General features: G+C 35.9%; 1 protein-coding gene across 5 annotated transcripts in view, besides 1 other annotated feature; it reads left to right on the top strand.

Moving 5' to 3' along the window:
* The window catches only part of PLOD2 (procollagen-lysine,2-oxoglutarate 5-dioxygenase 2), a 91745-nt gene that overhangs the window by 36935 nt on the left and 32693 nt on the right, over positions 1–22117 (top strand). For 3 of the 5 annotated variants that reach the window (NM_000935.3, NM_182943.3, XM_047448320.1), the window contains exons 2-7: positions 21–112; positions 3002–3138; positions 13802–13965; positions 17606–17718; positions 19908–19971; positions 21398–21495. In NM_000935.3, coding sequence (NP_000926.2) covers positions 21–112; positions 3002–3138; positions 13802–13965; positions 17606–17718; positions 19908–19971; positions 21398–21495 — 668 coding nt within the window. Of the gene's footprint in view, positions 1–18; positions 113–924; positions 986–2216; positions 2280–3001; positions 3139–13801; positions 13966–17605; positions 17719–19907; positions 19972–21397; positions 21496–22117 lie in introns of those variants that run through there. The other 2 variants (XM_017006625.3, XM_047448319.1) reach the window with 2 other exon arrangements.
* Positions 13791–13991: a silencer, noted in NCBI's record as "peak4856 fragment used in MPRA reporter construct". NCBI's record gives its function as "represses an SCP1 promoter by STARR-seq MPRAs in K562 erythroleukemia cells {active_cell/tissue: K562}" and the evidence as "EXISTENCE:reporter gene assay evidence [ECO:0000049][PMID:32103011]".

The raw sequence follows: 22117 nt of genomic DNA, 5'->3' as shown, positions 1-22117 counted from the left end.
GTTTCCTTTTGTCTTTGCAGATAAATTATTAGTCATAACTGTAGCAACAAAAGAAAGTGATGGATTCCATCGATTTATGCAGTCAGCCAAATATTTCAATTATACTGTGAAGGTATGGTATATCCTTTAACCTATGAAGATCCTATAATGTGTGCCTAAAGTATGTTTTTCATAACAGCAGTACAATCTGTAATCCTCACAAGGAAGATAGCATTTGGTTACATAATTACTGTTAGTTCATGTAGTTTTTGGCTTTATTAATATTTCCTAACACAAAGAAATGGTGGTAAATGCTTGAGGTGAGGGGATAGCCAAAGTATTCTGATTTGATCATTACACATTATATGCCTGTATCAAAATATCACATGTACCCCATAAATATGCAACTATTATGCACCTGTAATAATTAAGATAAAATAATGCTGTGCCACTCAAACAATAATTTCTGAATTTTTGCCAATGCTTTGTATAAATATACTCTATAAAACAGCAAAAAAAAGTTAATATGTATTTGCATATATATATATAATTTCTTTCTGGCAGGTCATGTACAAATACAATGTAAATAAGATTTGGCAGGGATTTTTTTCACTGACTGCATAATTTTTTCTGTAATGGGTTTTGCTATCGTAGGATGATTCTTTGTTTGCAGGGAATTAGAAACAAATGTGAAGAGGGTGCCTTTTCTGTCTATTATTGAGAATTGCTTTTGTTTTTGCTTTTTTTGTTTGTTTGTTTGTTTTCATTTAGAGGTATTTGGGAGGATTGTTAATGTATTTTTAACCAAAGCATTTTAGAAAACTTATCTCCAGGTGAACATCTCATTGACAAGTGATCAGAGGAAACTTGGGGAAATTGATAGAACTATTAAACTCAGCTATGAGAGGCCTGCCATTTTATTTACTTACTTGTTTTTTTTAATAGAAAGAAGGATCTGTCAGCCAAGTCTTTTCTACAAATAAGAGGAGAACAAGGAGATACCTAGGTAGGAACACAAAAAGCAAAAAACTTTTTTTTTAAAAAAGAAGAAAGATTACTTTTTGGAGAAAAACTGATCCATTTGAGTATGTAGTATATTAAAAAGGTAGTTTTTATTAAATAACCACTGGAATACTAAGTATAGATGTAAATATAGAACAGCTAAGTGTTAATATAGAACAGCTAATAAACAGCTAAACTTTGCTGAAAAAGAGATGTAGTGGTAACAACTAGATGTTTAATATAGGATAAATGAAAAACATGTTAGAAATATGTTACTATGATAGATGGAAAATGTAGCAGTATGCACTGATAGGAGACACTGTGGAAATAAAATTAGGATAAAATAATGCTGAAATCTAGTTGGGGAATCGTTAGGGTTCAGAATGGAGAGAGAGTAGAATGTTTCTTATGTGCAAGGCACCTTGTAAGGAACTTTATATATGATATGCTGTTAAGTCACTATATGAACCATGTAAGGTAGATACTACTTTATTTCTGGATGAGGAAAACTTGTCCCAAGGCAAATAACTATATAAAGTATAATATCAGATCTTGGACCCCATCCCCACTTAACTTACTGGAGTTTATGATCCTTTTGCTCTCTCCTCATGTAATGCAGTGGTTCCCAAAGTGTGGACCCCAGACCACCAACATCTGCATTGCCTGGCTACTGATAAGAAAGAAAAAATAATCAGGCTCCCCCTCAGACCGACTGAATTACAAATCCTGGGAGTGATACCCTGAAGTCTGTGTTTGAACAAGGCTTCCATGAGATTCAGATGCACACTGAAATTTGACAACCACTAGTGTAGTGGAAAGAACATAGAGGGTGGTGCTTAACATGGTGTATTGCACAGAGTAGACTCTCAGATGTCGTTGGGTCCAATGTTGCATTAGGATTAGGGATTCCAGATGGGTTGTGGAACAAATCTCAGGGCCAGAGGAGGCCAATTTTTAGAGCAAGTACTATTAATGCTTCTAGATTAGCCTAGTTTGAATCCAGATCCAAAACAGCTTGAGTTTTCTTGGGTTGTGTTTTTCCCTCAACCTGCCACATAGGAAGTGATAAGTTATAACAGGACATTTGAGGCTGGGAGCCCCACAGGCTTTGCCAGCAAGATTTATCTCCGGCTCAGTATTAAGTAAAGTTAGAACTAGTGGTATTTATTATTAAATTTTATTTTATCCTTTTCTTGTGTGTTTATTTTTAATTTCATTCTCCATTAATTTCCCAGATCTCTTAGTAGATCATTATAATGGCAACTTCAGACTTTGTTTTGATGAAATGAAGAGAAAAGGTGTGTGTTGTGTGGGGGAAGGGACGTGTATTGCACTTTCTGTTCCCTTAGAGTCAGTGTGTCATCATGCATTTCCAATTCAGGGAGCAGCTGCTGAGGCTCAAGCAAATAGTGAAGAGAAAGGGTACAGGGTAATTAAAATCAAATTTAAATTAATCATACTTAGGCAATATCTTGCATTGAAAAATCCTTATTAAGCTTTAGACAATTACATAAGTTTAAGATGTATAAGGTAAAGAAGGTGATTTTTTTCTTGATGCCCTCTGCAATTCCCTGAAAAACCCATTTTGGTTCAGTAGGAAAATTGCTTAAAGGCCCCTCATCAAGGAGTCACTGAGCTTCAATGTTGATCATAAAGATTTCCTGCCAGATTGAAAAAAAAGTGATATGGGAAATTTATTCATTTTTCTTCTTTATGGTCTAAACAAATAGGAATAAAATGATGTAATGTGAGAAATACTTTCTGGGTCTACTTCCTTGGATTAGACTCACAACTTTTGAGATGGTAAAAATTGAGAAGGGCATTTTGGGGATGGATAACATTGAAGAATTATGATCTGATTTAGGCATCTAGATTTTTTTTTCTAGAATCATGATTCCATGAAACATTAGAAGAGTGGTTACGGTACAGTACTGTTCAAGTTGATGATGTCTTTAAGTTTTTCATAGTACTTTCATAATTTGAGTTTTGCTCAGGAATGAAATGTTGATTTTGTTTATAGGTCCTTGGTCAAGGAGAAGAATGGAGAGGTGGTGATGGAATTAATAGTATTGGAGGGGGCCAGAAAGTGAGATTAATGAAAGAAGTCATGGAACACTATGCTGATCAAGATGATCTGGTTGTCATGTTTACTGAATGGTAGGAGAAACACCCTGTGGATTTTAAAATCTATATTCAATTACTTTTTAAAGAGCTGAGATTTATATTTGTAGATGATGTATTAAAATATGGTTGGGCACGGTGGCTCACGCCTGTAATCCTAGCACTTTGGGAGGCCTAGGCAGCTGGATCACAAGGTCAGGAGTTCAAGACCAGCCTGGCCAAGATGGTGAAACCCTGTCTCTACTAAAAATACAAAAAATTAGCCGGGCGTGGTGGCAGGTGCCTGTAATCACAGCTACTTGGGAGGCTGAGGCAGAGAATTGCTTGAACCCAGGAGCAAGGTTGCAGTGAGCCGAGATTGCGCCACTCTACTCCATCCTGGCAACAGAGCAAGACTCCATTTCAAAAAAAAATTATTGACAAGGAATTATTGTTTTAAAAAGTAGATATTACTATTCTGTAGGTTGCCCGTTCGCTCTGATGGTAGTTTCTTTTGCTGTGCAGAAGCTCTTTAGCTTAATTAGATCCCATTTGTCAATTTTGGCTTTTGTTGCCATTACTTTTGGTGTTTTAGACATGAAGTCCTTGCCCATGCCTATGTCCTGAATGGTATTGCCTAGGTTTTCTTCTAGGGCTTTTATGGTTTCAGGTCTAACATTTAAGTCTTTAATCCATCTTGAATTAATTTTTGTGTAAGGTGTAAGGAAGGGATCAAGTTTCAGCTTTCTACATATGGCTAGCCAGTTTTCCCAGCACCATACAGAAAGGGAGAAAATTTTTGCAATCTACTCATCTGACAAAGGGCTAATATCCAGAATCTACAATGAACTCAAACAAATTTACAAGAAAAAAACAAATAGGGCCATCAAAAAGTGTGTGAAGGATGTGAACAGACACTTCTCAAAAGAAGACATTTATGCAGCCAAAATACACATGAAAAAATGCTCATCATCACTGGCCATCAGAGAAATGCAAATCAAAACCACAATGAGATACCATCTCACACGAGTTAGAATGGCGATCATTAAAAAATCAGGAAACAACAGGTGCTGGAGAGGATGTGGAGAAATAGGAACACTTTTACACTGTTGGTGGGACTGTAAACTAGTTCAACCATTGTGGAAGTCAGTGTGGTGATTCCTCAGGGATCTAGAACTAGAAATACCATTTGACCCAGCCATCCCATTACTGGGTATATACCCAAAGGATTATAAATCATGCTGCTATAAAGACACATGCACAGGTATGTTTATCGCGGCACTATTCACGATAGCAAAGACTTGGAACCAACCCAGATGTCCAACAATGATAGACTGGATTAAGAAAATGTGGCACATACACACCATGGAATACTATGCAGCCATAAAAAATGATGAGTTCATGTCCTTTGTAGGGACATGGATGAAGCTGGAAACCATCATTCTCAGCAAACTATCGCAAGGACAAAAAACCAAACACCGCATATTCTCACTCATAGGTGGGAATTGAACAATGAGATCACATGGACACAGGAAGGGGAACATCACACACGGGGGCCTGTTGTGGAGTGGGGGAATGGGGGAGGGATAGCATTAGGAGATATACCTAATGTTAAATGACAAGTTACTGGGTGCAGCACACCAACATGGCACATGTATACATATGTAACTAACCTGCACGTTGTGCACATGTACCCTAAAACTTAAAGTATAATAAAAAAAAAGAGGCAAAAGTAGATATTACTAGTTATAAAACTATTGTATTAATCAGTTCTTGTGCTGCTACAAATTCCTGAGACTGCATAATTTATAAAGAAAAGAGATTTAGTTGGCTCACAATTTCACAGGCTGTACAGGAAACATGATGCTGGCCAGCTGCTTGGCTTCTGGAGAGGCCTCAGGAAACTTAGGATCATGGCAGAAGGCAAAGGAGGAATGAAGGTCTCACATGATTGGAGCAGGAGGAAGTGAGGGGATGTGCTACATGCTTTTAAACAATCAGATCTCATGAGAACTCTATAATGAGAACATCACTAGGGTGATGGTGCTAAACCATTAGAAACTGCCCTCATGATCCAATCACCTCCCACCCAACCCCACCTCCAGCACTGAGGGTTACGTTTCAACATGAGATGTGGGTGGGGACGTAGATTCAAATTATATCAACTATGGTCTGAGATGATGTAATTAAAGATGATGAATTACCATAAACACTAATGAGACAACATGGCAAGAGCTAACGTTTTTGTGAAATTCATACTTTAGTCTTGAGTTAAGAATAAAGATCATAGTGAGCTTTACTATTGAGACGGGTAACTTAATGGATTCTGGTTAAACAGAAGAAAAAAGACCACGCAAAGTTATAAATACAAGTGAGACATTAGAAAGCCTGTGTTACTAAGAAAGAAGAACCTTTTTAATGTAAATGTATTTTGTGTAATATTTCACTCTCCTAATTAAAATATCCACTCTTTTTTGCCATCTTCTTATAATTTTATAATAACATCAAATTGTCATGAGTTATTAGTTACTACTTCCTTTATTTTATTTTCTGTGTCTTATTTGTTTTTGTTATTGATTGCTCATTTTAAGTCCCCATGAATTTTCCCCTCTAACTTAGGAAGGTCTTTTTACATATTTTTTCTCAATTTGAAAATATAAAGACACAAATTATTTGCAGATGAAAATAAGAGTAATATTTTTATGCATTAGTATAAATAAGAAAGTTATAAATTATGAAATGAAAATAGATGTTAATATAATGAAGTCCCAGTGCCGTACACACTTAAAAATTTTCAAAAGATACATAACACTTGCATCTGTAAAATTTTCCTGTTATATTTTACACAAAATATTAAGTTCTGCTTGTGGTTACCTATTTTGCAAGATGAAGTATGGTAAGGCAAGTGTTAGCCATAGTGTACTGGGAATTTTTCTACAGCATTTGTTATTTTTTTTACACTTAGAAAAAGAATACCAAGTTCATTAAAATAGCTCTGTAGAATAAATACTGGGTATGTTTTGGTTTAAAATTACCATGGATTTCAAACAACCATATTAGTCAGCTTAAACTTGCCACATGTACATTTTCACTTTGGCTCTGAGGCAGATTCTCCTTGTAAGAGTTACTACATGTGAGTCAGAAATGATTTTACATCCTCAAGCTTCCTTTTGGGTTTTAGGAAGAACTTTTCTCTACCATCACTCTCGCATCACCATCCCCCACCTCCGGCCCCCTATCTAATATTTGTCCTTGTGGACAACTGGTATAGTGAGGGACCTATTTTTTTCTCATGAGAAGAAGGACACTGTGATATACCTAAAGCCTGCTTGAGGTTGAGTTTGTTGATTTAGATGATACTTTAGGACCCAGCTTGACAGAAAAGATAATAAAATTTTAATGGAAGACACAGTGTCTTCCAGGCACTGTTAGTGTTTGGGATATATAATGGAAACAAACAGATAAAATTTCTGACATCTCCTGTGAGAACAGCCAGCTAACTGAAAACATGGGTGCCCACTCAGCCAAGTTGTTGTCTAAGAAGAGTCATTAACATTTTCTGCATCATTACCTACCATGACTATCCTGTGGAAAAAACCTAGGGGTCATGAGAAAGTAACCAGGAGGTTAAAGAGGGATGAGCAATTGAAGCCACATAAGAAATTTTTTTTACCCTTCTTATTTTTTAAAAACAACACCCTTTTTAAAAAGTTTATACAGAGTAATGAATCTAGTTGAAAATTGTAATCTAGGGCCTGGGAGAATGAATTAAACTGTTTGTAAATGGTTTGAAATATGATGCCCATTCTGTAACACAATTCCTAAACTCTTAATTAAGGTTAGCTCTGGTAAAGGTCCAGAATTCAGGATATGTTCATTTTAATAAAGCAAAACATTCTTATTTTTTATGTGGTATTTTTAAGGACAACTCAACTGTTTTATGGAAGCATAGGTCACTATCATATGAAAATATACACAGATGTATATACTTAGTGGTTTAGATGAGCCTTTTAAGAAACACAGCTTTGTTAGGGCATAATTTATATAACATGCCATAAACATTTGTAAGTGTAAAATTCAATGAATTTAATTAAATTTACAGAGTCGTGCAGTCATCCCCATTATGCAATTTTAGAATGTTTCCAATACCCCATAATTATCCCGTATTCCATTTAGACATGCTAAAAAGCCTGAATTAATTTAGAAACAATTTTGTCGCATTCCTTCCATGGAATATGTATTCTAAACTTACTTTTGGATGAACGTTTAAAATTAGAAACTGGCTCTTTATAATCTGTAGGGTAAGATTTATTATATTTAATTTAGATAAAAAAATTTAGATATTTGGCAAGGTTTTAGGTTATTCTCAGAACAAAAGGAAAACTGAAGATATCCATATATGAGTGAGACCATCTGATACTGTCTTTTTGTGCATGGCTTATATCATTAACCTAGTAACCTCCAGTTGTAACCATTTTATTGTTGCAAATAACAGGATTTCCTTCTTTTTTATGGGTGAATAATATTCCATTATGTGTGTACTCCGTATTTCCTTTATCCATTCATCTGTTGATACATACTTAGATTTGTTCCATATATTTACTATTATAAGTAGTGTTGCAGTAAACATGGAAGTATAGGTATCCCATTGATATACTTATTTTCTTTCCAACAGCACAACAAAAATATCCCCCATGATCAAGTGGGATTTATCCCAGGAATGCCAGGATGGTTCAATATTTATCTGTTAAAATTGTATTTGTTTTATGCCAACTAACTCCCTTTCCCTCCCTCCAAAATTTATAAAATAATTTTAATCATTTTATTGTGATTTTATCATAATCTGTTGTGCAAAGTCAACTGGGTACGTGGGTGTTTTTAACTGTGTGTGTGCGTGTGTGTGTCTGTGTGTCTGTGTCTGTGTGTCTGTGTCTGTGTGTTTTGAGGGTGGGTGGTTAGGAGTGGATCCATAGTATTGGTTTGTGATGTTAATTATCTCTGGAAATATAGACATATGCTTCAGGTGAAGATATGATGAAAGAATTATCAGGTGTGAAGCTACTTCTGTGCTGCTAATAGTTTGGATGATTATAATTTTTGCTGAAGTTTATGCCAATAATGATAAAGGATTGGGGCTAAATGACAAGGTTAGGGAACACTTCTGTTGCTTTCTTTTTTGGCTATATGGGAGCTTTTGCTTCTTGTTGAGACTCAAGATGATGGATTCTGTGGCTTGTACCACTGCCTGTTTTTGTAAAAAGTTTTATTGAAATGCAGCTGTGCTCATTTGTTTACATATTGTCTGTGGTGGCTTTTGCAACACAGTGACAGAGTTCAGTCACTGTGACAGACAATATGGTCATCAGGACCTAAAATATTTTCTGTAAAAGGCCAGAGAGTAAATATTTACTGACTCCCGCTTTAGGCCATAGTTGAGAACCATTGATACAGTCTGGGAACTGGCACAGAATCATTTTTAAAATAGTTTGTCAGACAGTCTTATTTATGAGTGAGGAAGAGATGGGTAATGTAGAGGTCTCTAGGGTTTTAAAATTAATCTAGCCTTGTGCCTTCTAGTGGGAGTGGAGAGGATTTGAATGCAAAATAAATTAAGTAGATGGAATCAATAGGATTAAGGAAAAGATTCCATGAGATAGGCCATGGAAAGAGAGGAGTGAAGGGTGAATGAAAGATTTTCAACCTAGGTGACTATGTGGTTGATGTTGTCACAGAAGTAGGGAACACAGAAGGACAAAAAGGAAAAACACTTAGAAAATCTCAATCATCTATTGAGATAGAACACTGACATGTCTGGCAGGGGACTCAGTATGACCACATCAGGTAGAATCTTATGGTTTTTTCAGGACCCAGGCATACTTACCACAGTTATATGTGGAAAATTTTATTTTCTTCACATGTAGATCGACTCAATTTCTGTGAGAATATTTTTATGACCTGTGTATCGGGGGAACCACCCCCAATATTTCAACGTAGGTTCTTTCCTATTTCCCTAAGTGTTGGCCGGTCTGAGAAATAAAGGGAAAGAGTACAAAAGAGAGAAATTTTAAAGCTGGGTGTCCGGGGGAGACATCACATGTTGGCAGGTTCCGTGCTGCCCCCCAAGCCGCAAAACCAGCAAGTTTTTTTGTTTTGTTTTGTTTTCTATATTCATTTTATTAATTCATCCCCCCCAAGTTTTCTACAGAATCCTGGAATTCTTCTCAGTGTAGTCAATACATTGATAGTTTGTCGATTTTAATGAAGACATCCCTCTCAGAGCCTGTGCTGTTCCGCAGTTGGGATTGATGCGTCTCTAGGCCTGCAGGGACTTCCCTTCACCATCATATGGGAATCCTCTGTGACTCTACCCTGTGTGGATTCTTCTGTGCCCTGTTTTTCATGTCTTCCTCTTTCTTAGTTTATTCCCTTAATTTGGTGGAGCACGTTCTCCAGTAGCTACCTCTACTTTCCTTTTCCCCACTCTTCGTACCAAATTTTGCAGATTGGGTTCTCCAGAAAGTAGAATCTTAGGTGGAAATTAGTGTGTGGGAGGCTTATTAGGAATGCTTGTTGGATCAATGCTTATGATTATGCAGTTTGGTTGGATTCATCTGTGTTCTTCTACTGATTTTTCCTGGGGTCACTTTTGTGGCTGCAGTAATCTGGCTGCTCCACTGAGAGTATGTCTGGTTGTTAGCTGGGACTGTTGGCTGGATACTTTTGCTTATCTACAGGTCATCTCTTCGAGGATAATTTGGGTTTCTTTTGCTGTATTAGTCCATTTTCACGCTGCTATAAGAAATACCTGAGACGTACTTGGTTTTCAGGGCACTACATTGCCTTGAAAACCAGCAAGTTTTTATTAGTGATTTTCAAAGGGGAGGCAGTGTATGAATAGGGTGTGGGTCACAGAGGCACACAGAGGCAATAAAATATCACAAGGCAAATGGGGGCAAAGCGAGATCACAGGACCGGGGCGAAATTAAAATTGCTAATGAAATTTCGGGTATGCATTGTCATTGATAACGTCTTATCAGGAGACAGGGTTTGAGAGCAGACAACTGGTCTGACTAAAATTTACTAGGCAGGAATTTCCTCGTCCTAATAGGCCTGGGAGTGCTACCAGAGACTGGGGCTATTTCATCCCTTATCTGCAACCGTGTAAGACAGACATTCCTAGAGCGGCCATTTTAGAGACCTACCCCTAGGAAAGCATTTTCTTTCTCAGGGCTGTTCCTTACTGAGAAAAAGAATTCAGCGATATTTCTCCTATTCGCTTTTGTAAGAAGAGAAATATGGCTCTGTTCCGCCCGGCTCTCAGGCAGTCAGACCTGATGGTTACCTCCCTTGTTCCCTGAACATCGCTGTTATCCTGTTCTTTTTTCAAGGTGCCCAGATTTCATATTGTTTAAACACACATGATTTACTAACGATTTGCACAGTTAATGCAATCATCACAGGGTCCTAAGGCTACGCACATCCTCAGCTTACGAAGATGACGGGATTAAGAGATTAAAGTAAAGACAGGCATAGGAAATCACAAGAGTATTGATTAGGGAAGTGATAAATGTCCATGAAATCTTCATAATTTATGTTCAGAGATTGCAGTAAAGACAGGCATAAGAAATTATAAAAGTATTAATTTGGGGAACTAATAAATGTCCATGAAATCTTCACAATTTATGTTCTTCTGCCATGGCTTCAGCCGGTCCCTCCATTTGGGGTCCCTGACTTCCCGCAACACCTGTGTGCATTTTTTTAAATTTGACAATTTGACTTTTTACAGCCAAAATAAATTTAAGTAGGAAACCTTCCTTGCCCTTTGAGAAGTTTTAAGTAAGTTCAAATAACTTTTCTAAAGTATTTAAACACAGAAATAGCAGTGCTACTCGAATGAGATAGGAAAGGTTTCAGCAACGTGAAATTTTTCTTCAAAGGCAATTATGTGATAACTTTTGTCTTAACTTTTTGCTTTAAAATAATTGTGTTTTGTTATAAAGATAATACAGGCTTATAAAACGCTAAATTATAAAAGTTGCCATAACTCTTTTTCAAACAACTGACATTTATTAATAGTTTGAGCTATACTGTTTATATAATCTGTATCCATCATTAGGGTTTCAAAGACAAAAAATATTCACTCACATTCCAAAAGTGCATTTATAACTTTTTTTAATTTTTAAATTTTATTATTATTTTACTTCAAGTTCTGGGATATATGTGCAGAACGTGCAGGTTTGTTACATAGGTATACATGTGCCATGGTGGTTTGCCGCACCTATTACCCCATCATCTAGAGTTTTGTTTTTTTTTTTTTTTGAGACCAAGTCTCACTCTGTCACCAGGCTGGAGTGCAGTGGCATGATCTCAGCTCACTGCAACCTCCACCTCTCGGGTTCAAGCAATTCTCCTGCCTTAGCCTCCCAAGTAGCTGGGATTACAGGCGCACATCACCACGCACAGCTAATTTTTGTATTTTTAGTAGAGATGGGTTTTCACTATGTTGGCCAGGATGGTCTTGATCTCTTGACCTCATGATCCGCCCGCCTTGACCTCCCAAAGTGCTGGGATTGCAGGCATGAGCCACTGTGCCCGGCCTCATCTAGGTTTTAAGCCCTGCATGAATTAGGTATTTGTCCTAATGCTCTCCCTCTCCTTGCCCCCCGCCCACCGACAAACTCCACTGTGTGATGTTCCCCTCTCTGTGTCCATGTATTCTCATTGTTCAGCTCCCACTTATGAGTGAGAACACGTGGTGTTTGGTTTTCTGTTTCTGTGTTAGTTTGCTGAGAATTATGGGATTCCACCTTCATCCATGTCCCTGCAAAGGACATGAACTCATTCTTTTTATGGCTGAATAGTATTCCATGTTGTATATGTGTCACATTTTCTTTTTCCAGTTTATCATTAATGGGCATTTGGGTTGGTTCCAAGTCTTTGCTATTGTAAATAATGCTGCAGTAGACATATGTGTGCATGTAACTTTATAGAAGAATGATTTGTAATTGTTTGGGTTTATACCCAGCAATGGGATTGCTGGGTCAAATGGCATTTCTGATTCTAGATCTTTGAGGAATTGCCACACTGTATGCATGCTGCTACCTGCAAAATTTCAGACTCAGTTTAGTCAGAGTCTCCAATCGTAAGATGCTCTGACATCACAAGCTATTTTTCCCCATCTCCAGGCAATGCACAAAGGGTCTGTTTATCACTCGCATGGTAGTCGCTCTTTCAGAGACTTTAGTTTATTTGCCTCACTTCTCATGGCCTAATTACCCATAAAACTGGTCTTATTTCCCAGTCTTCATTATTAAAAAAAAAAATTATCAACAACTTATAGTCTTGAGGAAAATATCACCGTTAAATCCGGTTGAGGAAATCAGTTGTACTTAGCAGAAAAAGTACAGTGTTGTGTTTTGTAATGTCAGATTAATCAGTTTTTTTTTTAATAAACAGGGCAAAGTTTGAGGTTTCAGTCAGAAAAATTTTATTGTAACTTAAAGTTCAGTTTCAAAAGTACAAGTATTTGGCTAAAAATAAAATTTTTTAACATACACATTTGTAAAAACTTTGAAGTGAGTTTTCCTCTGTCTCTCCCTTTACTGTAGTCCCTTTCATGTTAATTTTTAACTTTGTTCAGTGTTTACAGTGTGCCAGGAGTTATTTTTAATTTTTTTAAATTATAACTTGAGGATATAGATACTACTTTTCCCTCCATTTTATACTTTACACTTAAGTGTAAAGAGGTTAAGTGACTTGTCCTAAGGTTATTCTCATATCAAGTGGCAGAGGTGGGATTAGAAACCCACCTGGCAGACTTCAAATTGTATGCTGTGAGTGACTTTACAATTATGCTGTTAGCTACCTGGGATGGTAAGTCATTAATTTATCATCATTGGAAACCTTTGGTCTTAAGGTGCACTGATGTAAAAAAATGTAAAATAATTTGTGATTGTAATGAATAAAGAACTTATTGCAGAGTAGAAAAATTTTAGATAGTGGCTGTTATACTTCACATTTTGTTAAGTCATTGTGATTCTGTGAATGAACCATGAGGAAGAAAGTCATCAGAAAAATCAATGAAATTATATTATATTAATTAAATTATAGTGTCAGTTTTTACAAAAATTAAATTATAGTGTCAGTTTTTACAAAAATTTTCTCCCAAGTGTATTGAGCTTTAAAAACCTGCAGTTGTCTGAACGCACTTATTTTAAGATTCCATGCTAAACAGTCATTCAGATATTAAACATACATTGATGACATTTAGCAGTTAAACACATTTTGTCAAAAATAATTCTTCAGAAACTAATGGACTGGTACAAATTTACTTGAAATATTAGGCAGTTATGGCAACTTCCGTAAATGATTCTATCTGTATTATAAAGTTATACAACAAGTAACTGTATTTCTAACATTTTAATGCTGTTTCAGAATTTCAATTTGGGAATAAGTGATTCCTGAAAAAAAAATTAAGGCTAACACTAAAAAAGCTGACTTTTATTTGGACTTCATTTGCTAATGTAAACTAATAATTCAATACAATTCATATAATTTAAGTTGAGAGAAATTTTGTTTGGTGTTCTGTGTAAATAGTTGGCACAGGTATTAATCTTGCATTGTATTCTTGATTCTGACTTTTGTTAGAGAACTTTTCATGGTTTATGTGCCTAGATTCTGACAAGTGTATTTTAAAACACATTTTTTCCTCATTGAACAGCTTTGATGTCATATTTGCTGGTGGTCCAGAAGAAGTTCTAAAAAAATTCCAAAAGGCAAACCACAAAGTGGTCTTTGCAGCAGATGGAATTTTGTGGCCAGATAAAAGACTAGCAGACAAGTATCCTGTTGTGCACATTGGGAAACGCTATCTGAATTCAGGAGGTGAGTTAGATACTGGAAGAAAAGTTTAATGCAAGTTATAAAGACTAATGAAACAACCATTTTTGTAGATGTAGTAACTTTAGATATGAAGTTTTAAATAACCCTTATTTTATTATTAGTATATTGACAAAGCATTTTCCCATGTATTATGTGAGTTGGTGTTCCTAAAAACACTAGGTAATATAAATGTTATAATTACCAAATTATAAGTGAGGAAACTCATGTTTTTCAAATTTAAGTGACTTCTAGAGATATTCTGTTGTTAAAGGAAGAAAAGTATGGATCCAGTTCCTTTAATTATGACACATTGAGAATTTTCTTGCTCTAGGATAATAAGTTTAGTAAGCTTCCTTACTTGAAAAAAAATTATTCTCAGTCCGCAATCAAGTAGCTTTTAAGAATAGGTATTACTTAATATTATCTGATTTTAAACATTATGGGATTAAATAAATGATTTGTCTTGAACCCAGTAGTGAAAAATATCTAACATTGAGTGTCTGGGTATACTTAAAATATTGCATTAGCTGTGCTACCACGGATTAAAGGAATGAATTACCACATTCCTCAGTCCAGCCTTTAGAAAATTAAATAAAATTTGACCTTGGAAATTATAATGGCTACAAATTTATTTTTACTAGTTTGAGATTAATGTAAACATAGGGACAAAAGACATAACCAAATAGGATGAAGGACATGTTAGAGAAACAAATTGGGTACAAATTGCAAACCACATTGGAAAAATGGATTTTGGGGGTGATCTACGTGTATATAACCAGTACTATCCAGGCTAGTTAAAATAAGTGCTGCTTCAGGTAGCAGCATATCTGGGTTCTAGGCTTTGCTTAGCCACTAGGAAGTGATTTAGTTTCTTGGTAATGCCTCAATTTCAGCTCTTTGCACCTGCACTTTATTTTATCAACATATTCCCACAGTTGTACCTTGGAACTTTGATAGCTCATATAGATTTTGTACTTTTGAAACCTTAAATTCCAGTTTGCACTGCCTGGTTTGAAATCTCTTTTCCTCTTCGTCTCAATATTTCTACAGATAATGCTTTCTGGGATCTCTTGACCATTTTCTTTTCTCCAAATCTATCTACCACCTTTGGATTTAACTTCCATATTCAAGTGAGAACCCAAGGTTTATCATATTGGTTACTCTGTGCTTCTTGCCTTAGCAGTCTTTCTCTGTTAGATTTCCAGCTTGTGAACCGTCAAAGCCTCTCCCTAATATGGCTACCCACCATCACTTCTCTGCTTGAGCATGCGGCTCATGGATGGGTGCTGCTTCCACATCATGGCCTCCATACTGTCAAGACCTCAGTAATATATGGCTAATCTTGCAACTTATTCTAAGTCCTCCATTGTTTAAAACCAATTTTTTAAAGGAAGTATGTAGCCATGGGACTCTGAGACATGTTTTATTTTATACTTGTTGAAATTTTTCTGAAGATGACTTGCATAGTGAAATCTCGTAAATTTATTTCAAATAGTGATGTATGTACTCAGGTGGTTAGGTTTCAGACAGACTCACAGTGCTTTGGAAGCAGCAAGAAATTAGCAAGCAAGTGCAGTTGTAAGTCAGTTTAATTAAGGAAAAGGTGTTTTAAGTGGGAAAGTAATCATAAAAGGACATCGAAGCATCATCCTTATGCTTTCTGTAGTCAAAATAATTAGAGAAGGGCAGAAAATATAAATATGTTTAATAAAAGTTTGAATAATTTCATAGATCACATATTTACAGTTATTTAAGGGACATGAGTTGTTTGTGGGCATACTATTTAGTTTTTAAAAATAGTTTTTGGCCAGGCACGGTGTCTCAAACCTGTAATCCCAGCACTTTGGGAGGCCTAGACAGGAAGGTGACTTGAGCCCAGGTGTTCAGGCCAGGCTGTGCAACGTAGGGAAATCCCATTTCTACTAAAATTTTTTTTTAAATTATCTGGGCATGGTGGCACATGGCTGTGGTCCTAGCTACTTTGGAGACTGAGGTGAGGAGATTGTTTGAGCCCAGGAGGTCGAGGCTGCAGTGAGCCATGAGTGCACCATTGCACTCTAGCCTGGGTGGCAGAGTGAGAGCCCCATCTCCAAAAACAACAACAAAAAGAGTTTTTAATAGAAAAATATAAATCACATAAAATATGTAATGTGAAAATAGATGTTTTTTTTTCATTTATTGAGGACATTTGGGGTCTGTAAAATAAGGAAACAATTTTTGAAGAACAGTAATATAAACCATTGGAAAATGTTGAGTGTCTCTGTGTGGTACATTTTTCATCACAGAAAATTGGCCATGGGATTTAAAAAATGTATTGTCTTCTCCCCAGAATTTTTTTATTTGATGCCAGGCATGGTGGCTCACGCCTCTAATCTCAGCACTTTGGGAGGCTGAGGCGGGCAGATCACCTGAGGTCAGGAGTTCGAGACCAGTCTGACCAACATGGCGAAACCCCATCTCTACTAAAAATACAAAAATTAGTCGGGCATGGTGATGGGTGCCTGTAATCCCAACTACTTGAGAGGCTGAGGCAGGAGGTGGAAGGCGGAGGGGAACTCGGGAGGCATAGGTTGCAGTGAGCCAAGATTGTGCCTTTGCACTCCAGCCTGGGTGACAGAGCGAGACTCTGTCTCCAAAAAAAAAAAAAAAAAAAAAAAAAAAAAAATTTATATGGCAAGAACCAAAAAATGAGCAACCATTGATTGGTTTTGGTCATGTTTTCATTTTTTCTTTTTTCTCCAATAACAGTAATTTCCCTGGACCTATTTTTTTAATTCTTTTAAGAAAATTTTAATTTTGACAGTTAAAAAATAGATTTTTCTTCAACTCACAGGAGTAACATTGGTTCCTTTTTAAAAGTATTGAATGTCAATGAAACATAGCAGCTTGGCTGCATTTCCATAATTCAGAGGAAGATTCAGACAAGAAAAATGATTCCGTTCGTGTCTTTAATAGACAAATGTTATTGGCGGTCTTAATGCTTATGCTTTAAGGCCAAGGAGAACAATCCAATTTTAGACTTCCTTTTTCCAGACTATGACACAAAAAACCTAGCCAGAAAATGGTTTAGCAGGCACAATAATGACTGGCCAAAGTAATGGAAACATTTCCAAAATGTCTTAGATATAAAATTTCTTTGGGATGTTTGCAGTTAGTGACAAATCCAGCATTCGTTTGATTGCATTAGCATCTCTGGCACTGACAGTAAAACCACTGTAGTAGAGATTTTATTCTGTAAGAAAGAGTGAGTTCTCCGCAGAGAATCCAAGAAGAGCTTTTTAGAAGGTCAGAGAAAAAATTCTTGTCTCAGTCTATTCTTTTCCTAGTAAATCTGTTTCCCTTAGGAGCCTTGGAAAACATTAGTTCTCCCTCTTTTGTCAATTACTTTTGGAGACACATTTATTTAAAAAGAGTTTGGTTATTTTCTGTTTTGCAGTTGGTAGCAAACACTCTATTGGAGTTTATATATAAAACAAGGGGCACTCAATAATTCATATTTCTTTCATGGTGAGCTGTGAAATTCCAGCCTAAGAATTAGGCTTCATGACTTCACAACTCTGTTCAACTGGTCAGTGAAATTAACATGACACCAGTTTTGGTCTTTGAATCCTAAATTATCTACTTTCTCTCTGCTGTGTTGCAGGATTTATTGGCTATGCTCCATATGTCAACCGTATAGTTCAACAATGGAATCTCCAGGATAATGATGATGATCAGCTCTTTTACACTAAAGTTTACATTGATCCACTGAAAAGGGTGTGTAACAGCTGCAATTTTTTTGTTTTATTGATTTGGTTGTTTTGTGTGTTATATTGTGTTAATGTGGAGTGGTCAGAAACAAAGGTTTTATGATAGTATGGCAAATGGTAAACTGAATTTCAAAATGTTGAAAACATATTTTAATAGGTGAGATTGGTTTATGTCACCTGGCTGGATATCAGCACTAGCTTAGTATGTCTTTATGGCTTCTCTTTTGTGGCCAAGTTGGCAAACTTGCCGAACTTGGTTGGATCAGGCAGAAGGAAAGAAGAACTATATAATGCAGTGCTATATGTATTGAAACACATATTGAAATGACTTGATACTAAAATGAAATGGCAGCCCTCACACCACTGTCATGGCCCTACCTCCACTGCATACTCACTTAGGCTGCCTTAAAATAACAGAATAGGTTACATTATCAAAACTTCTGAGCTTGGAGATTTAAAGAGACAATAATGAAATCCTAAAGATTCTAGACAATGTCTTCTTTTATATTCTTGAATAAATAACTGTCATTTATTAACATAGAGCATTAGAAATGTGTATTCTTGTATTCACTCCATCTTGGCAGCTATAATTGTTTTCTCAGAAGCTACACCAAAGCCATTTGATACCAGAGTGAACTTTTGCAGTTTAAAAAAATGCAGTGTATTCTCATTTGTAGTCTTTAGCCTTGCAAAGCCCTTTGTACCTCTCTGAGCTTCTTTGATCCTAGATAGGCTAGAGGCTAGACTCTGTATCCACACTTTATCAGTAGAGAAACTGAGACCACATAGTCTGTGACATTGTAGGGACTGGATCCTTGGTTCCCTGAAAACCAAAATCTGGACTTTTTTTCTGTTTCATATGATGATAACATAGACTTTATGTGTTTAATTGGCTACAATTTTAAAAGAACACATTTTCTGGTATTTTGAAATGACATGTGAATAAAGCCACTCAAAAGACAGTTTTTAATTTGAAAATTACCTGTGATACCCTTGAGGACAGAGACCTTCCTCTGAGATTTGGAGCCTGGAGATTATGGGTGTTGAGAAAACATTGAAGCCAAAAGCCCTGGTCATTGTTCAAGTGTTTGGTGGCCCAGAGTGGATAGAGCCTGTAAGGATGGGTGTGATCCTTTTTAGGAGACTTTATAGCCAATTTGTGGATTTCAAATATTTGAGAATTTGGAGCCTGAAGATTCAAAGAGATGATAATGAAATCCCTAAGAGGTTAGAGCCTGAGGATCCACGGGACTGTGCTATAGACACAGGCTTTTGTCTTTTATTCATAAGAACACTTAAACTGTAATAAATAAAGCAACTCAAAATAGCAGTGGTCTAAATAAGAAATATGTTTTATTTAAGTTTTTTCCTTCTGTCACATTGAAAGTAATTAAGAAGTAGGGAGCACAAGGCTGTTAGGGAGGCTTTATGCTGTCAAGAGGGATAGCTCTTTTGTTGCTCCACCATTGGTCCATAGCTCCCAGTTTTAATCTTACTTCCTTGTCCAAAATTGCTACTTGAGTTTCAGTCGTTGCATTCGTATTCTGGGCAGCTAAGAGAGGCACGGTAGTAAAAACAGGCCATCTCAGTTTCATCACTCTCTTTAAGTTGCCTTTCTAGAAGTCTTACCAAATAGTTTCTCATACTTTGATCAGAACGTATGTATGTGCCCACTCATAATACCCAAAGGAAAATCTGTTTTTTTATTTTAAGCAGATATATGCTCCTGAAATCTGAGTTCCCTTATTGGGGAGTTGAGGGAATGTTGGGTACAATAAGCAGTCTTCCATAGACCCTAGAGAGAATATTCCTGAAATTGATGTGAGTGAAACTCTGGAGTACAGTAAAGCAAGATTTTCTAATTTGAGAATACTTTTATCATATTTACCAATATAAGTTGATATTTAATAAATTTACTGTATATATTGGATACAGATATAAAAGTTACTTGTGTGTTTGTAGTTGCTGTCATTAGGAAACAAGATTTTCTTTAAGTGTATTTTGCAATGAGTTGCAACTATCGCAGTTTCTACCTTTTAGCTAAATACTTTAGTCATCTAAATATTTTGATTAGACACTTAAGATATAAGAATATTAAACTTTAAATTCCCTCAAAGAACAAACTATATTAATATGATAGGAATGTTTGCTGTTTTTGTTGTCATTTTCAATATCATTTCTATTCTTATGTTTTAGGAAGCTATTAACATCACATTGGATCACAAATGCAAAATTTTCCAGACCTTAAATGGAGCTGTAGGTATGCTTCCTAAATACCGGATTGCTTACGTATACAAACAAACACCTGTGTTTTCAACTATCTTTCCTTTGTTATGTCCATTTGGGGGCTGTGACTAAGGTCGACAGTGTAAATATTGTAATTATTGTAACTTAACAAAAATACTAGACTTGAACTTAACATCAGTACATTAAATTAAAATCATTTCCTATGACTAGTGTGAAAAAGATAAGCTTCTGGCTTTAGGTAACTTAAAATTTAGTGTCTCACCATTTGGGAATTTTAGATAAGTTTATAAATTAATTACACTTTATTATTACACATTTTCTAGTGAAATTCTTTGTATTACGAATTACCCAGAGTATTAGAGTAGATCCTTTTGACCCAGCTGAAAGATAACTGGTGACAACTAGACAGTAGACTGGGGAAGAGTGTGTGTGTGTGTGTGTGTGTGTGTGTGTGTGTGTGTGTGTACATGCTCGTGTGGATATGCATATGTGCCTGTGTATTATAGATACATATATCTTGATAAAATACATTAAAACTAATCAATACAGTAAAATTTAAAATATAATTTATTAACACATAAATACTTTTAAATATACATATAAAAATTGAGAATATATTGCAATTCAATCAATACTTCAAGTCAGTCCATTTAGTAAAAAGATTCTTAAAATCTAGTCAGGCATGGTGGTGCGTGCCTATAGTCCCAGCTATATGAGAGGCTGAGGATTGATTGATCCCAGGAGTTCGAGGCTGCAATGACCTGTGATTGTGTCCTTGCACTCCAGCCGGGGCCAGAAAGTGAGACCCAGTCTCTAAAAAAAAAAAAAAAATTCCCACAATGCAAAATGTTTAGTTTGGAGTGCTCAGGAAATTTTAAGACGATGGCTCTGCTCCTCTCTGACTTGAGTTTTATCTTGCTTAATGTGCTAAGTCTGATTTTTAAGAACTGGAAATATTATCATTGGTAGCCAATTGTAGAACCCTTGCTTATGCCAGACAATATTCTACTCACCATGCATATATTGTTATTATCTTCATAATAACCCTAAAAGACAGACGTGGATACCATTTGATAGATGACTAAACTGAGTTACTAATTTAACTTGGCAAGAATAACAATACTATGAAGGGGCAAAGGCAGGATTGCAAGATGAATTATTCTGACAGACAGCTCACTGGCTTAGCACCTCAATCACTTTACTGGTGCCAGGTTGGAGTGAGTTTGGTATCTGTATCTGTTGTCACTGTCATCCTTCATTTTGGGTATCTGCTGGCTTGGAGTAGATGAAGTTACTAGAAGTGTTGTAGCACTTGGAATATTACATCCATGAGAAATTTTGTAATGATGATACACACACATACACACACAGACACACGAATACAGACACACACACACGTATTTTAAATTACTAAAGCCTATTTTCTCTTTTTAACCCAGATGAAGTTGTTTTAAAATTTGAAAATGGCAAAGCCAGAGCTAAGAATACATTTTATGAAACATTACCAGTGGCAATTAATGGAAATGGACCCACCAAGGTAAGTAACAGTTACTTTTATTTGGCCAATTCTTGGAGATAGACTATGGATTGATATGTGGAATGTCATCTATTTTATTTTTAAAAATTTCTTTCAAAGACTTTATTTTGGTGCTAAAATAAAGACTTCATCTTTTACACAGTATATCATCTGGTTTTATACTAATTAATTAATCAAACTGATTTTTCCTCAGCAGAGTGATAGCCTTTTATTCTATTTACAGCACATTTGGCGTTTTATTAAATAATAACAACTAACTTGGGAGTGAGCCACATTTCTCTCATACTGGGTATCCTTTCTCATTAGGAATTGCTCAGGACATTAAGAGATCATTTGTTTCACCTGACTTGCCGTTTTCTAAGTTAACAACACTGTTAAGATTGGGGTATTACAATATGGCCAGAAAGCTTCCTCTTTCTCTTATTTCATTAACTACAGTTAATGAAAGTGACATAATTTGACCAATAAAATTTTGGATGCCTTTCTGTTTCAAATGTGTATAATTGAGCTTGCTAAAAATGTTATTGACTGCAAAATTTATAGATGAAAAGTTTGTTTTGCTTGGGTCCAATCAAGCTGGAACATAAATTGCATTGAAAAAATATAGTAATACTGTGCTTAC

This window comes from Homo sapiens, chromosome 3 (assembly GCF_000001405.40).
Source record: "Homo sapiens chromosome 3, GRCh38.p14 Primary Assembly".
NCBI classification, from domain to species: domain Eukaryota; kingdom Metazoa; phylum Chordata; class Mammalia; order Primates; family Hominidae; genus Homo; species Homo sapiens.
The sequence above is the reverse complement of the archived record's forward strand: the minus strand, read 5'-3'. Positions and strand labels throughout refer to the sequence as shown.